The following is a 26,540-nucleotide window of genomic DNA, read 5'->3' on the forward strand; positions in this document are numbered from 1 at the left end:
AAATTTTAAGTATACAATTTTTACGTATGTGTATAACCATGTACCCATCATTCTGATAAAGATGTGGAACATTTCTGGCATCCCAGAGGGTTCCCTTTTATCCTCTCCCAGTAAATGCCCCCCCGCCTCCGCCCCACCTCTCCAAGGTAACCGAACCACTATTTGACTGTAAGTTAGTTTTGGCTATTCTTATACACGGAATCATGTAAAATGTACCCTTTCGCGTCTGGCTTCCTTGGCTCTGCTTTACTCATCCATGTTCTGTGTAGTAGTAGTTCATTCTTTGCTGAATAGAATTCTGTTATATGAATGTACTACTATTCATCTTCTTTATTTTTGATGGATGTTTCAGTTTGGGGCCAATATGAATAAATCTGCTATGAACATTGTTGTATCTGTCTTTTGTTAGACATTTAAGTATTCATTTCTGTTGGGTTATATTACCTAGGAATTGGAATTGCTGGGTTATAGGATATATGTTTTCACTTTAACAAATTGTGCTAAACAGTTTTCCAAAGTGTTTGTACAATTTACATTCCCACCAGCAATAGATGCAAGTTACAGTTGCTCTGTATCCTTGTCAACACTTGGTATTGTGATACCTTTTAATTTTAGTGGGTGTGTAGTGAGATATCGTTGTGGTTTTAATTTGCAGCTCTGTGGTGGTGTCAATTGCCTCATATGTAATTTTTTTCAGTTATTTTAAATTTTCAGTTATTTAATTTTTCAGTTATTTTCTTTATTCAGTATGAATAAAATCAATATCACTTTTTGTATTGGACGAAAGTGCTTTTAAAGTCAGTATTAATTAAAACCTCTTCAAAGTCAATTTATTTATTTTTGAAGACAAAAATATTTCTTTCTCCCACCACAGCAATATTTAAATGTGGAATCTATACTTGTAGTTGAGTAAATCCATTTGTGAATAAGATACTTCCTTTAAAGGGGCCTTAATAGATTCACTAATAAATATGTGTGAAATATGTTTTAATGTATTGAAAGCACTTAGTGCCTGAAACATACTAAGTGCTAAAGTTATTTTAAAATAATTAAAATATACTTTAAAAAAAAAATATATATATATGTTTTGCCTGGAGAGAATACCTGTTGTCAGGACACCCACTTCTCATTATGCCTCTGCTGCCAATAACTATGTGGGTTTGGACCATTTTTTGCTATCAGTAACATGAATGCTTTTAGTTAGATGATTTCTAAGTCACATTGTAGGATTCAGTAGCTTCCTTTTTGGTTAGAATGGAAAAAACACTAGACCGGTAATCAGTCAATGTAAGTTATTTACACTTGTGGACCTTTGCTTTGTTTCATGACTCAAAACCCAATAAGAAGTATCTTTCCCCTCCTCCTCCTTTTCTACCCTTCCTCCTTTAATAGATTTCGATATAAAATTGCAAGCAATACAGTAATTCCTTAAACCTGGAAATTAGCATAACCAATATAAATTTTTTTTAAAAAACGTTAAGTTACTAAATTTTTTATACTAATAAACTGTAGACCTTGAGTTATTCTTCACATAACTGTACTTCACTGTAAGTACAGTGATGTTTTTCATAACTAGAAACTTTTTCAACCAAAATTAAACCGATATCTATATCAAGTTGCAGAATTTTCACAGATTTAATTTTCTCAGAGTGATTTTTGTTTGCATTTCTAAATCCTAGGTAGTCACAGAATATGATTCACCCTAATCTTATTTCCTTACATTTTGCTTTATGTTATTAGGGTCTTTTGCTTGTTTTGCAGTAATATTTTCTATTGTATACTTTGAGTAGCATTGGTTTTTTTTCTTCAGCAATTTTTACACCTTACTATCAGAGCTCATTACATTTTCTGATAAAGGCTTATTGAGATTCAGACTCAAACTCATATAGATTCTATTTTAATCTTATCTTTGCTTCTGGCTATTGCCTCTCTTCTGGTGTTTATTAAATAAAACCTGATGAAATCCTATCATATCAAAATATTAGTAGTAGTATTAGTGGTATCAAAAATATTGTTTTCTCCATGCATACCAATTGCAGAAGCAGTGAATAGCGTGGTTAAAAGCCTGGACTTTAATGTCATGGGCTTTAGAGTCAGACTACAGGATTTGAATTTTGGCTTCTCTTACTAGCAATGTGACCTTAGGAAAGTTCTTGAACCCTTAGTTATATTGCCTGTAAAATACATATAATAAAGGCACTTATAGGATCATCATGATGATTAAATGAAGTAATACTACACATAAACAGTGTCTTTGAACAGTGTTTTTGCACTTTGTAAGTGTTCAATAAATGTTAGCAATCATTATAAATATTATTACCTTTAGGGTTTTGTGAAGATTAAATGGGATAAGTAAACTGTATATCTAAAGGCCTGCAATATAGTGCACAATTAACATTAGCTAGTATTACTACCAAAAATATTCTCTAGCTAGCTGGTTTTACAGAATTTCTGTGTGTTCTAGGTAAAATTGCAGTTTAGGACCATCATCCATCCCTCCTGACACCAAACAAAAAGTGAATTTGTAATTAGAATATTTAGTACTAAGAAAACATGGACATCCAGGCTAAAGCTCAAACCTTTTAAAAATTATAATGTAGCTGCAATGTTATTTGCACATGAAAGGAAACAGAAAGTGGTGTTAGTAATTTTAAAGATAAATTTTTTCTTGAATAAGGTGTGATGTTTAGTTCCTAATAACTTTGTCCTGTGACCGATTAAACCCATCAGTAGGTTGAAGGTGTTCAGGGCATGGTAATCTGAGACTGAGGCCAGTCATTTTCTTAGACAGAGAAGCTATAAGAAATCCTATGTAGAAATTACTTAGTATCACACTAATTTTGATATTTGCATCACTTAGATGTCATTTACTTTCCTATTATCTGTGCTCCTGCCTGGCCTCCCTGCCATCTCAGTAATAGAGTTCCTTGCCTTCTTCCTAGTCATCAGGACCTGCATCTCTGCCTTGTTATTTCAAGAGGTTGAACTTGCTACTGATTTCATTCCTCTGAGAGACTTAAGTTCTTGCCTTGGCCCCATCTACCCATGATTGGGTTCCCTTTTACAAAGCTAGGCTCCCACAAAGGAAGACACTCACCTATCTGAAATTGCCAGGGTCATTGAGCACTTTTGAACAGGTGTAGGCACAACTTCAAGAGGTACCGTTCACATAGATGACATACAGCTGCCCAGCTGTATGTGGTGGCTCAGTGGCCAGTTGCCTATTTCTCGAACTATGGTTGATCACCTGCTGTGTTCCTGCTTGGTGGTCTTCATTAGACAGCTCAGGCTGAGATTCTTGCCCATGTTTGTGGTCTTCAGTTTTTTTAATTATGTGATCTCACCTGCTTTTATCTTGCTTCTGGTTAATTTATCTCAAATTTCATGGCCATCCATTGCTCAGTGTGTTGCCTCTACCTGGAATACTTCCCTACTTTATCTCATAGGAATTATCCTTAAAATTCTAGTTCAGAAACCTCTCATCTATAGTGTTTTCCCACCTCACATAACTGCAAATTTTTTTCTTATTTTGATTTTCTTTAATAGTCTATTGCTATTATATGTTTTTCTTAAGACTATGGATTTTAAGGGCAAGGCCAATGTTTTATCTTTATATTCTCTGTAACTCCTGTATGGTGTTCTGCTCATAATAGATGTTAAATGAATATTCGTAGTATGTCTTGATGAAAGTGCTACTTAACAAAAGCAGGCAAGTCAAGGTATGCTAATGAACTGAGAAAGGAGAGGCTAGAAACAAGGAAAATGACATGATAAACTATTGCAGTGATCTGTACATGAGGTGATAGTAAGTCTTGCGTATACTCAGTGTCAAAAGAAGTTGAGATGTGTTAATTATATAAATCAGTGGGGATGACCATGAACATAATTAAATGGGGGAGGGGAGGAAAGGGATTGATTAAAGCCAGAGGATGATGCAAACTGGATCCTACTTCTTACTTTTAGAAGTTTATATCAAGTGTCAAGAAAATAAAAGTAAGTTCAAATTTAAATTAACAGTATTCTACATTCAGTGTAATAATGTTTAAAACTATGTAGAAATGGATCCTTAAAAACCTCTCATTTAGTCTTTCTAGAGCTGTCATAATATTTGATGACTATAAATGTAAATTCCATTTAATGGTGAAATTTCAACAAAACTGGAATGAGCTATGGGATTTTTCTTTTGCAACCAGATAGACAAATAAATAGGCAAAGAGAGTTGAGATTATTACTCACTTTTGAAAATCATTTGAAATACTTTTGCACTCCCTTCCCAAAAAGCCTTTTGAGAGCTAGAGTTATTTATTTTTGGAGCATCACATTTTGACAGATTTTTGCACATTCTTCAGTGGTCATCACATGAAGAGATTTAGCTTAATTCCTTGCACAACTAACTTGAAGTCGTATGATACCTAGTTGACCTTAATTGTGTCTTGTTCAGTCCAACAAATGCTTACTATGTCTCATGCATAAGGCTATGTGCTCTTTATTCTCAGGGATAAAAAGAAGCATAAATCACTATTTGTACCATCTAGGGATTATATTCAAATGAAGAACACAGCACACCTGTGCCCTATAGGGATATCACAATATGTACAGTGATACATGCTATAATAGAAGTGCAAGCAGTAAGGCAGAAAAGGAGGAAAAAGATTAATTAAACTGGATACTGTTCTAATAGCTTGATCTGACCTTATTGTTTATAATATCTAGGTAACACATGGAAGCTATTTCTGGATTCTTGATGGTTTAGATGACTTATCACAAGATAACCAAAGTTTGTTTATGTCATGGTTTAGAAAGACTAAATCGGTGTAATGTTGTCCAGGAAGCCCAGACATGTTGCCGATAGGACAGCATTGCAGCATTGCAGTTGACCTTCATCCTTACAAACACGCTAACTGGATTTTTCTTAGGATACCCACAATACCAGTTGCTTAGCAATGGACTAACACTAGCTATGTTTATCTGTTTCTGGTATACAAAAGTCTGGCTGCCATTTTATCCACTTCTATTAGGGTCTAGGAAGAGGTGAGTAATATGTATTTCTTATTTATTTTTTTTTTTTGAGATGGAGTTTAGCTCTTTCGCCCAGGCTGGAGTGCAGTGAAGCAATCTCAGCTACTCGGGTTCAAGCAATTCTCCTGCCTCAGCCTCCTGAGTAGCTGGGATTACAGGTGCACACCACCATGCCTGGCTAATTTTTTTGTATTTTTAGTAGAGACGGAGTTTCACCATGCTGGCCAGGCTGGTCTTGAACTCCTGACCTTGTGATCTGCTTGCCTCTGCTTCCCAAAGTGCTAGGATTACAGGTATGAGCCACCGCACCGGGCCAGTAATGTGTATTTCTAATTAGGACATCCCTTCTTTCAGATGCCAGTTTGCAGGTTACTTGATGAACATAAAATCATAACAGGTAAGTGGGTCTAATTACCTAGATGCTTGGAAGATGCAGAAAATATCTTTCTTCTACATAGTGTCCTAGTTAATGGAATTCTTTTGAGCCCTGTAAGTGCCCTTGCTGAACTCTGTTTTCTGGACTAACCTTTTCACATTCGTTCTTTCCGTTAAAAATACCATTTAAGCTACAGTCTAGTTGCTGTTTCTGAGGGCCTGGAAGAATTCAGCCTCATCCCATTAAGTGTAGGTGTGTTTGACCAGCTCTCTGTCCTCTTAGGCCCATCCCTTTATTACAGTCTGTACTTTAAGTTTTAATGTTTATAATTAGGATCTCGTTTATTCTTTTCTGGTACTCCTGAATAACCACAGTTTTACTAACAATAACGTAAAAATATTTCAGCCACTACATGAGCCCCATTCAAAAAATTTGTTTCAAGTTAGTTTGTTGGCTGGAACTACAGTGGCACTAATATAACACTTGCTCCAAGATCTATGATCTAATGCTTTAATCACACAGGATGCATCTAGTTACTCAAATCAGAGATTCTAGAATCACCCTGAGTGTTCTCAGGTAATTGCTCTGTCTTGTCAATTTTGTCTCTTGCTTATCTCTTGAATCATTCCAGTATTCTCCATGCCCACTGCTCAAGCTTTAATTCTGGCCTGTGTCCTTTTTCACCTACACTATAGAGTAGCCTGCTAACTAGTCTCCCTATCTCAAGTATTGCCCTAGACCATCTTTACACTGCAATTGTGTTTTCTCTAAAAAGATTTATCATATAATCTTAAACTTTTTAATCCTTTTATGATATCTTATATAAAAGTTCAAATTCCTTAGAATAATATACAGACCCTTACTATTTAGATTTTGCCTATCTTTCCAGTCCTTTCTCCATTCTCCTATTGTATACCTTTTACTCCTGCCATGCTGAACTCACTTCCAGAAGTAGGGTTTTTCTTGCCATCACCATTTTGCACATGCTGTTTCACTCTCTAGAGAACTCCCATGACCATCTTCCAGGTAGATTTCTATTTATTTTCAAGAGTCATCTTAGACATTCCTTGCTCCAGGAAATCTTTCTTATGCTCCCAGACATAATGTGATGTCTTTTTTGTTTCCATTCCTATGTCTAATAACACATGCTGTCTTAGAGTAATTAATTATTTGTGGATTCACCAATGGACTTTGTACTTCTGAGAGATAGAGACAATGTCTCTTCCTTTTTGTGACTGTCACAGTACTAGAACATAGTGATAATATTTCTTTTGAATGAAGTAGAGTAGGCACTTGACATTCTGGATTTAATTTCCTAGCTTGCAAGCAACCTTGAAGATTCATCACTTGTACTAATTTGTATTATAATTTGCAGAGGCATAACTTTGACGCAAGTGCCCTATGGGGTTGGTATGTAGGAATGAGTCACTAACCTTGTGAGAATTCTAGCCAGCTACTTGATGCTGCCCTTTCAGAGTGGCTTTGCTTTTTTCATTATGGAAATTGTCAAGGTTCTTTTATTAGTTTTCATACTGCTATAAAAACATACCTGAGACTGGCTAATTTATTAAGAACAGAGGTTTAATTGGCTCATGGTTCTGCAGGCTGTACAGGCTTTTGCTTCTGGGGAGGCCTCAGGAAACTTAAAATCATGGTGGAAGGCAAAAAGGAAGCAGGCATGGCCTTCAGGTGGCCAGAACAGGTGAGGGGAGTGGGGAGGTGCCACACACTTTTAAACAACCAGATCTTGTGAGAACTCTATTATGCAACAGCACTAGGGGAATGGTGCTAAACCATTAGAAACCACCCCCCATGATTCAGTCACCTCCCACCAGACCCCACCTCCAATAATGGGGATCACAACGCAACATGAGATTTCAGTAGGGGCACAGAGCCAAGTCGTATCATTCTACCCTGGCTCTTCCCAAAACTCATGTCCTTCTCACATTTCAAAACAATCTGGCTTCCCAATAGTCCCCCAAAGTCTTAACTCATTCCAGCATTAACTGAAAAGTCCAAGTTCAAAGTCTCATCCAAGACAAAGCAAGTCCCTTCCACCTATGAGCCTGTAAGATCAAAAACAACTTAGTTACTTCCAAGATACAATGGGGGTACAATTCTCTCATTCCAAAACAGAGAAATTGACCAAAATGAGGGGCTACAGGCCCCATGCAAGTCCAAAACCCTTCAGGGCAGTCATTAAATCTTAAAGCTCCAAAATAGCATTTGATTCCATGTCTCAAATCCAGGCCACACTGATGCAAGGAATGGGCTCCCAAGGGATTGGGCAGCTGTGCCCCTGTGGCCCTGCAGGTTACAGCCCTCACAGCTGCTTTCACAGGCTGGTGTTGAGTGCCTGAGGCTTTTGCAGGCACCCAGTGCAAGCTGTCAGTGGATCTACCATCCTGGGGTCTGGAGGACCCTCTTCTCACAGCTCCACTAGGCAGTGCCCCAGTGGCAACTCTGTTTGGGGGCTCCAACCCCACATATCCACTCTGCAGTACACTAGTAAAGGTTCTCCATAGGGCTGTGCCCCTACAGCCGACTTCTACCTGGACTTTCGGATGTTTACGTACATCCTCTGAAATCTAGGTGGAGGCTCCTAAGCCTCAACTCTTGCCCTCTGCACACCTGTTGGCTTAACACCATGTGGAAGCCGCCAAGGCTTGTGGCTTGTACTCTCTGGATCAGTGGCCTTAGACATATCTGGGGCCCTTTTAGCCACAGCTGGAACTGAAGCCACTGAGACAGAGGGTGCCATGTCCTGAGGCTGCACAGATCAGTGGGTCCCTAGGCCTGGCCCACGAAACCATTTTTCCCTCCTAGGCCTCCAGGCCTGTGATGGAAGAGGCTGCTGAGAAGGTCTCTGAAATGGCTTGGAGGCATTTTCCCCATTGTCTTGGTTATTAACATTCAGCTTACCTTATGCAAATTTCTGCAGCTGGCTTGAATTCCTCCCCAGAAAATGAATTTTTTTTTCTACCACATGGCCAGGCTGCAAATTTTCTGAACTTTTATGCTCTGCTTCCCTTTTAAATATAAGTTCCAGTTTCAGGTCATTTCTTTGTTTATGCAAATGAGCATAAGCTTTTAGAAGAAGCCAGGCCACACCTTGAATGCTTTGCTGCTTAGGAATTTCTTCCACAAGATACCCAAATCATCTCTCTCAAGTTCAAAGTTCCACAGATCCCTAGAGCAGGGGCACAATACCACCAGTCTCTTTGCTAAAGCATATCAAGAGTGACCTTTACTCCAGTCCTCAATAAGTTCCTCATCTCTGTCTGAGACTACCTCAGCCTGGACTTCACTGTCCATATCACTATAAGCATCTTGGTCAGAACCATTCAACAAGTCTCTAGGAAGTTCCAAACTTTCCCTCATCTTCCTATCTTCTTCTGAGCCCTCCAAACTGTTCCAGCCTCTGCCTGTTACACAGCTTCAAAGTTACTTCCACATTTTCAGCTATCTTTATAGCAGTGCCCCACTCCTGGTACTAATTCTCTGTATTAGCCCATTCTCACATTGCTATGAAGACATACCAGAACCTGCATAATTTATTAAGAGAAGAGTTTTAATCAGCTCACAGTTCTGCAGACTGTACAGGCTTCTGCTTCTGGGGAGGCCTCAGGAAGCACACAGTCATGGCATAAGGCAAAGGGGAAGCCGTCACATTCTTCACATGGCCAGAGCAGGAGAGAGGGGGTAGAAGGGGGATGTGCTATACACTTTTAAAAAACACCAGATCTTGTGAGAACTCTATCACAAGACAGCACTAGAGGAATGGTGCTAAAGCATTAGAAACCACCCCCATGATCCAATTATCTCCTACCAGGCCCCACCTCCAATACTGGGGATCACAATTCAACATGAGATTTGGGTAGGGACAGAGAGCCAAACCATATCAGTTGTATTGTAAAATTTTAGTTACAGGATGAATTTATTCCATTTTCATGGACTTTTTATGAAACTTTTCGTAACCTGCATATTCATTTCAATAGTTAAAAGGAAACACAGCATGGAACTCTTTCTTACTCTTTGGTTTATTTATGCATGATATTCCTCTGTAGAGAATGTATATAAATTGTTACTTGGTTTGTATCATTTTCAAAGATTAGCAGGCTCAATAGTATTTCCGTTGTCAGTGAATTTCATCTTCCAGTTTTAATTTAAGTGTTCTCTTTCTAACACCCTTCCCACCATTGTTTTGTTTTATTTTCACTCAGAATACAGTATTCCTCATCTTGCCAAACACAGATCCCTCTACCCCTTTTCTGAATTTCTTCTCCCACTTTCACAGAGACCTGTTATCCTCTTCCATAATTTCAGCTACTCCTTCCCCACTGACTTTTACCCTTCAGCATATTAGAATACTCCCATCTTAAAAATAATCAAAACAACTGCCCTCTAATCATTGCCCATTTCTAACTATTTCTCAATACTTTTCCTTTTCATCACAAGTGTTTTGAAGAAATGTTCAGAGATCATCTCAAATTCTTCATCATCTCTGCTGTTTTCTTAATTCATTTTATCTGACTTCTACCCCTACTACAGTGAAACTGTTTTTGCCATGAACTCTAATGATCTACATATTATTAAAATAGTGACAGTCTGCTACTGGATCTCTGCATGTTTTGATTCTGCTGACCAATCCTTCCATGGTTTGTCTGACACCATTTTCTCTTGAATTTCTTTCTATCTGTTCTAAGTTAGTCTACTCCTCAACTACTGGTATTCTCAGCATTCCATTCTAGATCTTATTCTTCCCTCACTCTACAAAATTTCTACTTGGTGATCTTATTTACTCCCATGGCTCCAAAATCACTTCTAAAATTATTACTTTTTTCTTTGTCTCTCTTTCTCTCCCTCTTTCTTTCTCTCCTTCCTTCCTTCCTCCCTCCCTCCCTTTCTTCCTTCCGTTCTCTTTCTTTCTTTCCCTCCCTCCCTCCCTCTCTCTCTCTCTCTTTCTCCTTCCTTCTTTCATTCCTTTCCCTCCCTCCCTTCCTCCCTCCCTCCCTTCCTCCCTTCTTCCCTCCCTCCCTTCCTTCCTTCCTTCCTTTTTTTCTGAGACAGAGTCTCACTTTGTTACCTGGGCCAGAATGCAGTAGTATGATCAGCTCACTGCAGCCTCAAACTCATGAGCCAAAGTGATTCTCCTGCCTCCCCAGTAGCTGGGACTGCAGGTTCATGCCACCATACTAGGCTACCTTTTATTTTTTTGGCAGAGATGGGTTCTCACTATGTTACCCAGGCTGGTCTCAAACTCCTGGCCTCAAGTGATTTCCCTGCCTCAGTCTCTCAATATGCTGGGATTACAGGCGTGAGCCACGTAATGCCCAGCTAAAGTTATGAGTTTCATATGTTTTTTTACTTGGGATTTCTTTCCTGAGCTGCCATCCCATATATTCAACTGCATTTTCCACAGCACCTCAATACTGTGTGTGCAAAACTCAACTCCCCTTTCCCCACTGTATATGCTTTTCTTTCTGATTTCCCTTTTCCTCTTCCTATTGTAATTCCAAGACCTTATTTCTTTCCTCCAGAATTGCTTCATCACTTCCTAAGACTGATTCCGGTCTCATCTGACATTTAATCTTCATCTTCATCACTGCTCCCAAAATGATTTCTTTTTCTGAAACACATCTTTATTTTATTCCTCTGCTTGAAACATTTCAGTGCTTCCCATTACATTCAAGATAAAATGTATTTAAGTATATGTACACAGTGTATTTAAGTCAATTTATGATCTGGCCCCAGTGTTTCTGTGAAACCACAACTTTTGCCTCTCCTGTGTGCTAGTCAACTTTATATCAGGTCTCAGGGAACACTCTACTGTCTACCTTCCATGCTACCCACTTTCCCCCCTCTGACCTTTTCCTCCTGTGCAGTTCTCATTCTTGAAGCCTGATGTCACTACTTCCAAGCCTCTGCTTTTCTTCCCCATCCACTCATCTGACATTGCTATTCATCCTATTTCGTATTTCTTTTATAGCACTGACTAATTCAACTATAATGGTTTCTCTGAGTGTTTCCTAAACTATAAGCTTTCTGACAGCAGGAATTATGTGCTTTATCTTTGTATCCTGACAAGTAGAATGTAACTGTGGAACATATTTAATAAAAGTTTGTTCGATGAATAATGTCTGTATTTAATTTACTTCAAAAATAATCAATAGTACCTGCAATTACAGTGGTTTCTTTTTCATTGTATAATGCAAAATAGGTTCACCCTTTTAAAATGGCCCCAACTCCTATATGAACTTAGAGATATGAGAAAGTACCTCAGGGTAAATGTAACTACAAGTGATAATAATATGATAAAGCCTTTGCAATACAATTCTGACCTGAATTACCCAGAGGTAAGCTAAACTTCACAGGTGAAGGGCATAGTTCTCCACAAGACTGCCCTCATTTCAGACACCAGCCACAAGCTTGGGGGCTTCCAGGGCTACTCTCACTTCTGATCAGCTGTTTACAAATACATGAGGATAGCTACAAACCCTTCAGTTTCAATCATTAACAAGAATTATTAGACTTACAGAATACAGGAAAGCACTATAATTATGATAAAACTTTTATTATATCAAAAAGAGTACATATCAGAACCAGCCAAAAGAAGAAACACTTATGAGGTCTGGGATGGCCCAAATATGAGGGTTCCATGTCCTCTCTCCATGGAGTTAAAATTCATCATCTTCTGGTAGATTGTTGTGTGACAATTGCTAACCAGGGGAGCTTACCTGAACCTTGGTGTTTGGAGTTTTTATTGGGGTTTTATTATGTAAGTATGATTGACTGACTCATAACCATGCAGTGGAACTCAACCTCCATACTTCTTCCCTCCCTGCAGGTCAGGCTGGTATCACATGGCTGAAAGTACCAACCTTCTAATTACATGGTTGCCCTTTCTGGAATGTCCAGCCCCCATCTTGAGTCATCACATTAGGTTAAACTATCATTAGCCCACCATAAATAATGAAGACACTCTGATCATGGAGAAATTTCAAGAACTTACAGTCTCTCTCCTGGGGACCAGGGACAAAGGCCAGCTACATGCTTTTTTTTGTTTTGTTTTGTTTTTTTGAGATGGAGTCTAGCTCTGCCACCCAGGCTAGAGTGAAGTGGCACAATCTCTGCTCACTGCAACCTCTGCCTTCTGGGTTGAAGCGATTCTCCTGCCTCAGCCTCCTGAGGAGCTGGGATTACAGGAATATGCCTGTATTTTTGTACTTTTAGTAGAGACGGAGTTTCACCATGTTGGCCAGGCTTGTCTCAAACTCTTGACCTCAAGTGATCCGCCCACCTCAGCCTCCCAAAGTGCTGGGATTACAGTACCTTCTTTACAATAACAGCCTTGATCACCTAAAATAAAAAACATATCTGACCATCAAAACTAAAATTGCAAAACCTAAATTATATTGGTAGTCCAGAATTCTTGTTCATTTATCTGTTTTAATCATATGATCATTAAGAAAAGTCCAAAGAATTTGGAATTCATGTACAGATTAGAAGTCTGAATGGCACTATAAAATTGAGTTGACAGCATTAATTTCCATTTGGAAAAGTCTGCTAGAGGTTATTCATACAGGAAGAATTTATCAGAATTTGCAACTATCTCTAAAGTAGATTACACATATTTTATTTGGTGAATGTTTCAGAAATTGTGTTAGTGTGGACAGTTAAGAAAATAAAACTGAATGATCCTTATAAAGCTGATGGTCTGTGAAATTCTGCCTACATCAAACAGATTCAATAGAGTAATCTTTATCCATTAAGTGTTATTTCCTATTATTTGATATTACTGATTTAATAAATTTAAAATCTATTATTTATAATAGACAAGTATGTCTAGGTTTCATTTACAATTAAACTAATTAAATCTTGATTAAAGTTTCTGCTTGCATTATAGGTATCCTAAGTAGCCCAGTTAAACTCATTGTACCAATAGTGACACTTTCTTATTAAGAAAGCCCGAGTGTAAAGTATAATTCCTGGGAAGGAATTGAAAAGTCTCTCTAAGACATTAACCTCCAAAACTTTGAAAAATTATGTAAGGTAAGAAAAGAGGGTGGACAAACACAGTGATTTAAGTAATGTGAGTAAAAATCACTTGTGATTGGAGGGTCACTGTTTCTAGCAGGATGGCAAAATACCCTGTATAATTCTGCTACTGAAAATGGCCACAGATGCTGGAAGAAATATGTAACTGAGCTGAGAAGAAATTTAAGAAATTCACAGGTCAAAAGCAAAATGAATACAGAAACCCAGAGAGATAAGGTAGGACTCAAGCTGCCTTTTCCAGGGATTTGTGCAAAATCCTCTTTCTTTACCCTGAGCTCAATTTGCACATTGAGGGAGGTGACAAAGTCTAAAGCCTACCGAAGAATCTAATGATACCTCTGTTGTAAAGAGATCTGTACCCAAATGGCTTTACCAGCACGTTTGGGGTGAACTAGAAATAAACCTGTCTCACAAAAGGGGACAACAAGAAACACTGACAGAAACAACTTTCTCTAGGCCATGGGACAGCAAACTATAACCCCTGGGCCAGATCTGCCTACTGCCTGTTTTTGTACAACCCATGAGCTAAGAATGGTATATATATCTGGAGTGCAGTGGCGCGATCTCCACTCACTGCAAGCTCCGCCTCCCGGGTTCACGCCATTCTTCTGCCTCAGCCTCCCCAGTAGCTGGTACGACAGGCGCCTGCCACCACGCCCGGCTAAGTTTTTTGTATTTTTATTAGAGACGGTTTCACCGTGTTAGCCAGGATGGTCTTGATCTCCTGACCTCGTGATCTGCCCGCCTCGGCCTCCCAAAGTGCTGGGATTACAGGCGTTAGCCACCAAGCGCGGCCTTTTATATTTTTTAATGATTTAAAAAAATAAAAACGACAGTACTTAGTGATGTAAAAATTGTTATGAAATTCAAATATCAGTGTCCATAAATGGAGTTTTGTTAGAACACAGTCATGCTCATTCAGTTATGTGTTGTCTGTGGCTGCTTTCACACCATAGCAACTGAGCTGAGTAGTTGTACAGAGACCATAATGCTTGCAAAGCCTAAAATATTTGCTATCTGGCCTTTTACAGAAAAAGTTCACCAAACTCTGGTTTAGGATTTATAATGGTTAGAAATAGTTTGAGTTTTCTTCAGATTTAGTTCGACTCTCTAACCCATGTGATAATTCTACATAATCCTTTGTTTAAGTAATAGATTCAAAATAAACAATAGCACAGTTATTGTAAAGGCAAAGAAATAGAAATTAAATTACTTTAATTCTGCTATTCTTTGTGACCACTTTGAATCTTTGTGTTTAAAACTTTAAAACAATGAAATAGTGCAAACTTTAAGGTATAATACATGTTTGATCTAAAATTTATTCACAAAATATCTTACTGAATTTTTATTTTAGTAGAAATACATTCTTATTCATTAACTATTACTTTTTTAAGCTAAAGAACAAATTTAAAAACAATTTATTACAGAGGGCAAAAAGCACTAACCCTAAAAGAAAAAAATTGATAAATAGGGCTTCATTAAAATTAAAAGATGCTTACCAAAATATATTGCAAGAAAAAAGTCAAGCCAGAGATTGAGATAAAATATTCAAAATATGTGTATCTGACAAAGGACTTACATCCAAATAAATAAATTCGACTGCTTAAAAATACGACAACCCGGTTTTTAAAATGACTTGAATGACACTTCACCAGAGAAGATATATTCATGTATGTAATCACAGGAAGAAGGTGTGCAGCATCATTAGTTATTAGAAAAATGCAAATTAATATAACAAGGCTAAAATTAATTCTCATACATAACTGGCATAGTGTAAAATGGTGAAAGGACTTTGGAAACCTGTTTAGCAGTTAATTGTCGTATACTCTGTGGCCTAACTCATTTGACTCCTAGTATTTATTCAGAGAAGTGAATACATGTGCTCACAAAAAGACTTGCACAAGAGCGTTTGTAGCAGTTTTATTCGTAATAGCCTCAAACTGAAAGCAATGGAAATACCAATCAGAAGGAGAATGGATTAAAAATATATGTGCGATACAATCATGTGACAGAATACTATAAGCGATTTAAAAATGATCAACTGATACAATCTGAAAGATGACTGAATATCAGAAAGATTATATTGATCAAAAGAAGCCAGATGCAAGGGAATAAATACTGTTTGATCCTGTTTATGTGAAATTTTATAATGTGAAAGGCAAAACTAACCTATGCTGATGGAGTAAGTGGTTGCCTACAGGGGTGAGGCTTGATTGGAAAGGTGCTCTAGGGAAATTTCCAGGATGATACCCCCCTTTTTTTTTCCCAAGACAGGGTCTCACTCTGTCACCCAGGCTGGAGTGTAGTGGTACAATCCTGGCTCACTACAGCCTCGACCCAGGTTCAAGCAATCCTCTCATCTCAGCCTCCTGGGTACCTGGGACTACAGGTACAAGCCACCACACCTGGCTAATCTTTTTATGAAAATTTTTTTGTAGAGATGAGATCTCACTATATTGCCCAGGCTGGTCACAAACTCCTGGGCTCAAGTGATCCTCCTGCCTCAGCCTGCCAAAGTGTTGGGATTACAGGCTGGCCACTGTGCCAAGCCCCAGAGTGATAATCTTGATTGGTTATTGGTTATATGTGTGTATCCACTTGTCAAAACCTATCCAGTTTTGCACTTAAGATTGCATTTCTGCAGCCACAAAAAAGAATGAAATTATGTCCTTTGCAGCAATGTAGAGCTGGATGCCATAATCCTAAGTAAACTAACTCAGAAACAGAAAAACAAATACTGCATGTTCTTACTTATAAGTGGGAGCTAAACAATGGATACACATGGACATAAAGATGGAAGTAATAGACACTGGGGACTCCAAAAGGGGGAGGTTGGAGGGGGACAAGTGTTGAAAAATTACCTATCGGGTACAGTGTTCACCATTTGAGTAATGGGCATGTTAGAAGCCCAATCTTCACTAGTATGCAATATACCATGTAACAAACAAGCACATGTACCCCCTGAATCTAAAATAAAATAATAAAATAAATCTGTGCATTTCACTGTGTAAATTTATTAAGCAAAATAAAACAAAAACTTGGTATTCACATAACTTACAATCAAAATATTCCTAGGACTAATCTAGAGCAAAGATCTTGCTTAGCACTTTAGTTAACTAGTACCTCTGGATACCATTATACATATTGCATTATTTTTTAAAATGGCATGTTATGTGATAGGGTAAAAAATAATTTCCAAATGGAAAGCTGCTTGTCTAAAAATAAAATCAATAAATCATGTTCTCTTCAATTTACCTTCATCATAAATTAAATGCCTATAACTGAGTAATAAAAATAAAGGATACAGGAGATCAGCATCAAACTGTCAAGTCAAAATTAGGATCATGAGAGGAGCGTACTATCAATTAGATGTTTTATGTTCATTATCTCAGTTAACCATAATAATAACTCTGGTAAATAGGTTTAAGCTCCCTTTTACTGTTGAGTCTATTGAGGTTTAGAAAGGTTAAGCAGCTTGATCACAGACACAAAGCTAGTAAGTGTCTGACACTCAGTTTTTGAACCTAGTTCAACCGATTTCAAAATTTAAGCTCTGTCCAGAGTACCCCATATTTCAGAGATCAGTGAGAAGGGGATAGAAAAGCAGTTTAGGATTTACAGGCTGAAATACAGTAGGGTCTGAAGGATAGATCATTCCAGTAAGGCCTAAGGGCCTGGACTACTTGACTGCCCCTTCAGATATCTCTTCCACTGCCAGACCCAGGCCTCCAAGTAATCTCTGCACCTCATCATTTTCCTTTGGGTGCCCTGAAATTCAAAAGCTGGCCCATATATCAGTAGTTCAGCTACACTTGTACCGATGTGATCCATCAGTACTGAAAATAGAGATGAGCCAAGGGGAATAGTGAAGGTAAATCAGTGCAATACATTCCTCAATAGCGGAGGAATATACTGTGTTTCTATATTATGATAAAGAGTAGTGGAAGAGAAAAGCAGAAAAACAAAGGACAAATGGGAAGGTAGACTTAAAGACAGTTGAAAGTATACTGAAACAGGTGTATTTTTCTATGAAGTCTAGCTTTTTAAAGAAAACCATGTTCTAATGAAAAGCAGTGGAAAGAATTATGATATTAAATAGTTGCTGACTCTGAGACCAAATATTGGTATTTGTGCAGATCTTGAAAGAAGTAAAGTGTGGCTTATTGTTATTTTAGGTAAAGTATTAAGAATTAAATAAATGTTTTGAATGTTTAGACTAATGTGGAATATATGAAATGCGCACCAGCACACTTTGAGGAAATGCTTAGTTCTCAGAGTGAAGCCTGCCCCAGTTAAAGCATTCTGAATTTATTCCTAACTTGTCTGCCACTCGCCTTAGACATGCTTTTGGAGACTCAAATGTTACCATCTAGTAGATGAGAGGTTTGGACTATATATGTTCTAATAATAATAACCACTATATTTTATTGATTATCTTCCATATACTAGGAACCACACTAGATGTTTTAAGTTTTCACAATTGGGGTGTGTGTGTGTGTGTGTGTGTGTGTGTGTGTGTGTGTGTGATATTGCCTATCTTATTAATGAGGAAACTAAAATTCAGAGTGTTAATTCTGGGATTTGACCCTGACTCTATCTGGTTCCAAAGCTTTTAACCACTGTGTTATTTTGCCTATCTATGGGTCCTTCAACTTTAATATGCTAAGTTTCTATTTCCTTGAATCAGATCAATAAATAGATTAAAGTTAGATGTAAATCCTTGAAAGTCAGAGGACTTGATTATTGTCTTACTTTTATCTTTATCTTCAATGCCAACTACATTTTAGGCCTGGCTGCATTCAAGTGAAAGGAACCAAACAGATTAATCATAATCTTTGTAAGGAGGATTGTATTTTATCATTGCATTTTGGTTGCCACCACTCATGCGGTCCTCTTTCCACCATGTTTAGCATGGTATTTTGCATGTAATGTACACTCAGCAATTTTTGACTGATTACAAATAGAAAAAGGCTCAGAAATGATCAGTTCTTTTTGGTAGAAATTAGACTCAGTGCTTTCATCCAAACACAACAGCTGTTTAATGTGGAGGACTGATAACAATAGCTGTAAGTCTGAGGTTAAGAGTGACCTTTCATAGCCAGGAGAGGCTCAGAAAGGTCACTCTTAACAAAAGAAATATTTTGTAAATTTTAATTTATAGAGCCGATGGACTTTCTCATGAATGCTAGAAGAAGCCTCTCAGATAATAGTTTTGGCCTTAGGGAGGCCCAAATAATTTGTGTATATATTTTTAGTTAAGAAGAAACATACATAAGATTATTCTTACTGAATAGATATTAAGATTATGTGTCAAAAAACTTTCTACCAATTGTGAAAGTTAAGTATTTTAGATGGCATTTTTATTCCAAGTAATAGTTCTTCTTGACTGCATTAGAGACAAATGAATATTTACCTTGATAAACAACCAATTTAAGTTCTATTTAATCATGATGAAATAATCCTATGCACCCATTTGTCCTAAGTGTACTCTATATGAAGTGTGTTTGTTTTTAATCAGCCAGACTTTAAGTATGACCACTTAACAAAACTGGGTATGTCACAGATAGTTGCAATCTTTCCTGATACCAGAAAAGAATATAGATGACAGCTAACTTTTTAAAGTAATATTATTTGATAATGAATATATTTCCATGTCTTTATACAAAAAAATTAAAAAAAATTTCTAGGGATTCTCTAATATATCTTAAAGTATTACTAATAATGTCTAATTTGTCATCTGTGACATGAAACTAATTTCCATAATGCTTGGCATCTGAACAGCCGTGACTGCACCTGTTGCTGGGTTATCCCCTCAGGGAGTGGTTTTAGCCCTGGGGGAAGACCCAAATAATTTGGTGGTAGAAGGAAGGGAAAATGGTTTTTAGAACATTTCAATTATTGTTTCTACAAATGTATTGCAATAATGTCCTTACTCCCTCAACTCCCTTTCATTTATCAGCTCATTGCTATCCTGCTTCCTTCTCTAAACTATACTGAAGCAGATCATGCTAGGTCACAATTAACTAAGTGTCAAATTCCACGAAGAAATTTAGGCTCTTAACTTATGTGACCTCTTAATAGGGCTTGACACGGTTGATCATCTTGATGATCTCTGCCTTTTGGCTTCTCTGATCCCTTTCTTCAAGTTCTCTGCCCCTCTGACTACTACTTGTCAGTACAGACAGTCCCTGACTTACAACAGTTCAGCTTATGATTTTTAACTTTATGATGGTGAGTGATACATGTTTAGAAAAGGTGTGCTTTGAGTATCCCTTCTTTTCACTTTCAGTACAGTATTCAGTAAATTACATGAGCTATTCAACACATAAAATAAACTTTGTGTTAGATGATTTTGCTCAACTGACAGCTCATTTAAGTGTTCTGAGCACATTTAAGGTAGGGTAGGCTAAGCTATGATGTTCAGTAGGTTAGGTGTATTAAATACATTTTCAACTCAAGACAATTTCAATTTATGATGGGTTTATTGGGACAGAATCCCATCATAAATTGAGGAGCATCTGTATTTCTATACCTTTGTTTTCCTGTTAATTGTTAGATTTGTTCTTTACTCCTGTGAAAGTTAGTCTTATGTGTCAACTTGTCTAGGCTGTAGTATTTGGTTATTTAATCAAACACTAATCTAGATGCTGCTGTGAAAAGTATTTTGTAGATAAGGTTAACGTCTACAATCAGTTGACTTTAAAAGAGATAATGCAGTAGGTTGTATGCACTCAGTTGGAAGGGTTTAAGAGCAAAAACTGAGAATTCCTAGGGAAGAAGAAATTTTGTCTCAAAACTGCAGCATTAACTCCTGCTTGAGTTTCTGGGTTTCCAGCCTGCTGATCAGCCCACCTTAAAAATTTCAGACTTCTTGCCCTACAGGTTTCAAACTGTCAGCCCCTACAGCCACACAAGCCAATTCCTTTAAATAAATCTCTTTAAAAAAATACACACTCTCATATACGTATACATGTACAGATACAGATCAGATACAATTATGCCCTAGTATTTATGAGGGATTGGTTTTATGTCCTCCCTACGATACCAAAAGCCAAGGAAGCTCAAGTCCCTGATATAAATGGCATAGTATTTGCATATAACCTATGCACATCCTCCTGTATAAATCATCTCTAGATTACTTATAATAACCAAGACAATGTAAATACTATGTAAATATACCATATTATTTAGGCAATAATGACAAGAGAAAAAAAGCTTGTACATGTTCACTACAGATACAATATTTCAAATATTTTCAATCCATAGTTTTTTGAATCAGCAGATGTGGAACCCACCAATACGGAGGACCAACTACATTTGTTCTGTTCTCCTGGAGAACTCTGATTACAAATCCTTTTATCATTTTATTCATCATGCACTGTCTATATAATTCTTCCGTTTCACTTCTTCAACTATGTTCATAGTATATCTTTTACCTCAGAATATTTACCTCAGTCTTTTTTTTTTTTTTTTTTTTTTTTTTGAGACGGAGCCTCACTCTTTCGCCCAGGCTGGAGTGCGGTGGTGCGATCTTGGCTCACTGCAAGCTCTGCCTCCCGGGTTCACGCCATTCTCCTGCCTCAGCCTCCCGAGTAGCTGGGACTACAGGTGCCCAACACCACACCCGTCTAATTTTTTGTATTTTTAGTAGAGATGGGGTTTCACCGTGTTAGCCAGGATGGTCTCGATTTCCTGACCTCGTGATCCGCCCGCCTCAGCCTCCCAAAGTGCTGGGATTACAGGTATGAGCCACCACGCCCGGCCAGTCTTTTATCTGAACTCCTAATCAACATTTTCAACTACTATGCATCCCTATATTGATGTCCCAATCCCATCTTAAATTCAGCATGTCCAAATGAAATGGTTTTTTAAATCCCCACCTCAACTCCCTTCTCTCCCTATTTCCAGTCTCAATTAATGGCAACTCTACACCTAATTATCCTGTGTAGAGATCTCTGAGCTATTCTTCATAACTTTATCTGAACTCTGAAGCAGCTGAAGTTTTTTGTACTTGGTTGAAAACTGTTCCCCCAAAATCCATGTCCATCAGGAATCTATGAATGTGACCTTATTTGGAAACAGGGTCTTTGTAGATGTAATCCAATTAAGATGAGGTCATGCTAGATTAGAGTGGGCACTAAATCCAATGACTGGTATCATAAAAAGAAGAGGGAAATTTGGACATAGAGACACACAGAGGGAAAATGGCTATGTGAAGAAGGAAGACGAGACTGGAGTGATGCCACAGCTCTAAGCCATGGAATACCAGGGACTGCCTGAGGCCACTGGAAACAAGAGGCAAGGAAGGATTCTTCCCCAGAGCCTTTGGAAGGAGCATGACCCTGCAGACACCTTGATTTCAGGCTTCTGTCCCCTGGAATTGTGAGAGAATAATTTTCTGTTGTTTTAAGCCACCCAGTTTGTGGTAATTTGTTACTAGAAAACTAGTACAAAATTCATAGTCCCTTCATATTCCTCATTTTCCTTGTTTTAAGGAAGACTTAATTGTACCTTTTAAAATTTATTTTTACTTATTTTAGAGACAGGGTCTCGCTATGTTGGCCAGCTTGTCTTGAACTCCTTGCCTCAAACAACCCTCCTGCCTCAGTCTTCCAAAGTGTTGGAACTACACAGGCCTCGTATCTTTCATAATAAAATTCTTTCATTAAATTTTAAGAGTCCACTAAGATCTTCATGAGCTCTTTTCCCTCCTTTTTCACTTTACTGTGGGATTAATCCAAAACCCTTTGCCCTTCTCTTCATTCTTTCTCCCACTGGGACCACTCCCAATCTAGTGATTTTAATCACTGCTTCTATGTTAACTTCTAAACCTAAATTTCCAACTTTGACCTATCTTTTTACCTTTAAATCCTATGTTTTCAGTAACAGTAATTTTAAATTCTGTATTTTAAAAAATATTATAGGCATTTTTCTAGCAAGAGCCACATAGCCACTTAGCCCGTATGCTAAAGACTTTACATACATGTTAAATATTCGCAAAAACCTTATGAGGCCATTACTCTTATTATCCCCCAATTGAAAGATGAGAAAGTTGTGTAAGACACTGAGTGGTAAAAGAACTTGCCAAAGGTACGACAGTCAGTAAGTAGTGGAGCTGGGATACAAACCCACCATAGTGCGCTTTAAGCACATAGGCAACCCAGACCTCTTTGAGAATATGGTGAAAACTATGGTCGTTCACCACAAAAATAATACAAAAAGTTTCCTATAAAATATTAGAAAGTTCATACATCTCTTAGAAGTCTTTATGGATCCCAGGTTAAGAACACCTTTACTGGATTAGCCGGGTGTGATAGCACATGCCTGTAGTTTTAGGAGGCTGAGATGGAGGATCACTTGAACCCAGGAGTTCAAGACTGCAGTGAGCTATGAGTATACCACTGCACTCCAGCCTGGGCAACAGAGCAAGACCTTGTCTCTAGAGAAAAACAGAAATTGAACAAAAAACATCTGTTTTGGAAAGAACTGAGTCACAATAAATATAATAGTAATAAGAAAAATATAGCTAGATTCAATGGTCTAATTTTCTTCATCAGTTTGATTCTCCAGGAAAGTGTAATTTATTTTAGCAAATTTAGTAGATCTTTATTTTAAAGAAAATAGTGAACATCATGCTTATTCATTTGAGCATGTAGTGAATGACAAATGTAGTGAATGACTCCAAATCCAGAAGGGAAGACAAAACATGTAAACCAAAAATTACAATATGATGCAACAGTTATGACAAGAACAATAATCTTTGTGAACTGTGCAGAATAATATGAAAGAAAAGTACTGTGTTGAACACAGAGATCAGGTAAAAAATTACTATAATCAGGTAAGAATAAAATCCATGCAAGAGATGAATATGGAGATTCTAACCTAAGGCAGTGGAAGTGGTGAGAAAGGATTAAATCCAAGGGTTACTAAGGAGGAAAATGCCGTCCGAGTTTAGTGGCTGATTAAGTCAAGATGAAAGTGAGAAAGGAATGAAGAACAGCTCATACATAGGATGATTAGGAGTAGAGATGCCATTAACTCAGATTAGAAATAAGGAGAGAAAGGAGTGAGGTGGGGAGAAAAAAACATTCCATTTTGGACACATGATAAATTATACAGAAATAGAGATTCAGAAATAGATATATAGACACAGATATTATATAGTTATGTAACCTAAGCATATTTTTAGGCAAAAGTGGGTGACAGAGGGAAGGTTATCAGGTATAATTGTGAGGGGGTTAGTTGGATAGGAGACAGCATACCTGTTTCTCTGAAATAAGGGGACAGACTGCATTCAGCAGTTCCAGTAACAGTTCAAGAAACAAATGACTATTATTAATCATATATTATTTAAAATAGTATCCACTTGAGTGTTTGTCTGATTTTAAGTTGTAGATGTCAGTTACATATTTATCCAAGAGATCCATTTTTTTCAAAAGCAAATCTGAAAAGCTTATAATTAAAATTGACTGTAGCCAACATGTTGGAATCCAAAGTGTATTTGATAATTTTCTTACAGAAAATGTTTTAGGCCCACCAAGGAATTTAGTCTAGTGTAGTTAGAACCTATAATTTCACACTCTTTCAGAGTAAGCCTACTAAAAAATAGTTCTTTTAATAAAAGTGTGCAAGTGATTAAATCCTAGTCAATTACAAAATGTGTATTTCTGTGATGGCATGTGTATTTCAAAGCTTTGAATGTTAAAATGCAACTTGATGCTCTTCCTTAGCATGGTTAAATTCAGCATGATATCACCCTTTGTGGGAGTCTTCATGAGGGTAAATACAGCTTAAATAAGTGAAGTTTCCTGGTATTGAAATGGCTTTGTTTCTGTGGGTCTTGATTTAGTTTTATTTGTTTATGCAAATCAATGAATAAATATACATCCATGGAGACAATATATTCAGATTATACATTTATATTTAAAACCTTTCTTTCCAACTTTTTATTTTACAGATTTGTTCAACTTACTTTAAATCACTAGAATGTAATTAAACACTGCCTTCTCAGCTGGAGAAAATAGGCTGTTCTCACATGGTTAGGCTTTGTTAAATAACAATAGATTTAAATAAAACTTCAATATACTAGAATATGTTTCTTGAGATACTATATGGCTTGATTTTATAATATTAAGATTCAAAACATTGGCATTTACAGTTGTGAGGGACCATAGAGGTTATCAATTTGTGTCCTTTTTCAGATCAAGAAATGACAGTTCAGAGCAGTAGGTTACCCAGAGCCAAGAATAATTATATAGTGGATTCTATATGCCAAGCTCTGCTCTAAACAGTTTACATACATTTTATGTATTAACTTATTAATTCTTAAATTCACCATTTTACAGATGAAAAAATAAACATTCAGAGGTGAAGTCACCCAAGAACCCTCACCTAGTAAGTGATGGCCCTGGGATTTGAACCCAGGTATTCTTCCTTTCAGTCAGTGCACTTAACTATGCTCCCAGTTTCTACAAAGGGCAGTGTTGAGACCCTGAAACCATTTAACCTTCTGATATGGTTAGGCTTTGTGTCCCCACCCAAATCTCATCTTGAATTGTAATCCTCATAATCCCCACTTATCTAGGGAGAGACCTGGTGGGAGGTGATTGGATCATGGGAGTGGTTTCTCCTATGCTCTTTTTGTGATAGTGAGTGAGTTCTTATGAGATCTGATGGTTTTAAAGCATCTGGTATTTCCCCTGCTCATGCTCTTCTGTCTCCTGCCACTATGTGAAGAAGGTCCTTGCTGCCTCTTTGCATTCTGCCATGATTCTAAGTTTGCTGAGGACTTCCTAGCCATGTGGAACTGTGAGTCAAGTCTCTTTCTATTATAAATTACCCAGTCTCAGGTATTTCTTTATAGCAGTATGAGAACGGACTACTACTACTATTACTACTACTACTACTACACACACTCACATATGTTAGGTGTAATATACTGATTTTGTTGAATTACATTTATTTATGTAAATGCCAATCTCTTTCACTGGACTGAGACGTTCGATAGATCTTCGATAGCAGGAACCATGTTGTATTCACCTCAGTGAAGAGTTCATTACTTGGTACATAGTAGGTGCTGCATAATACTTTTGGATAAATAAATGAGCCAATTTATATATGAAGGATTTTTAGGAAGGTGAGTCTAGAGGTAAGGAAACAAGTTAGATGGAGAGTGATCTCTCTTTGGGAGGTAATACAAAAGTCAGGTGGTGAAGTGATTTTGTTAAGGGAAAACATTGAACAGATGAGAAAGACATTGCAAAGATTGGAGTTGGTGATTGCTGTGAGTGACAGAGAAATCAAAACAACTATATGACCAGTTCAGTCTATCACAAAATTTATTAATTTGATTAATCTTTTCAAAGTTGGGCTGAAAGAAGATATCTTGTCTTGTTTGTTCATTTTCTATGCATTGAACTATACCATAAATTTTGTCATATCCTTCCTTCTGCTTATTTTAGGTTTCATTTGTTCTTCTTTTTCTCATTTCTTCAGGTATATGCTTAAGTCATTAATTTTAGAACTTTCTTCTTTTTTAATATAATTATTAAATGCTATAAATTTCCCCCTAAGAACTGCTTTAGCTATGGTTAATGAGGTTTTGATGTTTTCATTTTCATTTGATTCAAAAAAAATTTTTTGAGACAGAGTCTCACTCTGATACCCATGCTGGAGTGCACTGTTGCAATTATGGCTCACTGTGGCATCAACCTTCAAAGGCTCCGGTGATCCTCCCCCATCAGCCTCCTGAGTAGCTGAGACTACAGGTGCATGCCACCATGCCTGGCTATTTTTGAAATATATTTTAAATTATTTATGATTTCTTCTACAGCCCATGATTGTTTAGAAGGGTTTTTTTAAGTTTCTAAATATTTAGAGATTTTTTCAGATATCTTTCTGTTATTAATTTTTAGTTTAATGCAATTTTGGTAAGAGAAATAATCTATTTGATTTACTTTTAAAAAATTCATTGAGACTTCTTTTGTGACCCAAAATCTGTTTTTTCTTGGTGAATGTTCCATTGGCACTTGAAAAGAATGGATATTCTGTATTAGTTAGAGTGTTCTATATATGTCAATTAGGCCAA

General features: G+C 37.2%; 1 long non-coding RNA gene across 1 annotated transcript in view, besides 1 other annotated feature; it reads left to right on the forward strand.

Moving 5' to 3' along the window:
- The window catches only part of DPH5-DT (DPH5 divergent transcript), a 61,534-nt gene that overhangs the window by 6,787 nt on the left and 28,207 nt on the right, over window positions 1-26,540 (forward strand). The window lies entirely within an intron of this gene.
- Window positions 21,001-21,501: an enhancer, noted in NCBI's record as "H3K4me1 hESC enhancer chr1:101519189-101519689 (GRCh37/hg19 assembly coordinates)". NCBI's record gives its function as "activates a minimal SCP1, AML or CMV promoter by ChIP-STARR-seq in naive H9 embryonic stem cells {active_cell/tissue: H9 hESC(naive)}" and the evidence as "EXISTENCE:reporter gene assay evidence [ECO:0000049][PMID:30033119]".

Source organism: Homo sapiens, chromosome 1, assembly GCF_000001405.40.
Source record: "Homo sapiens chromosome 1, GRCh38.p14 Primary Assembly".
NCBI classification, from domain to species: domain Eukaryota; kingdom Metazoa; phylum Chordata; class Mammalia; order Primates; family Hominidae; genus Homo; species Homo sapiens.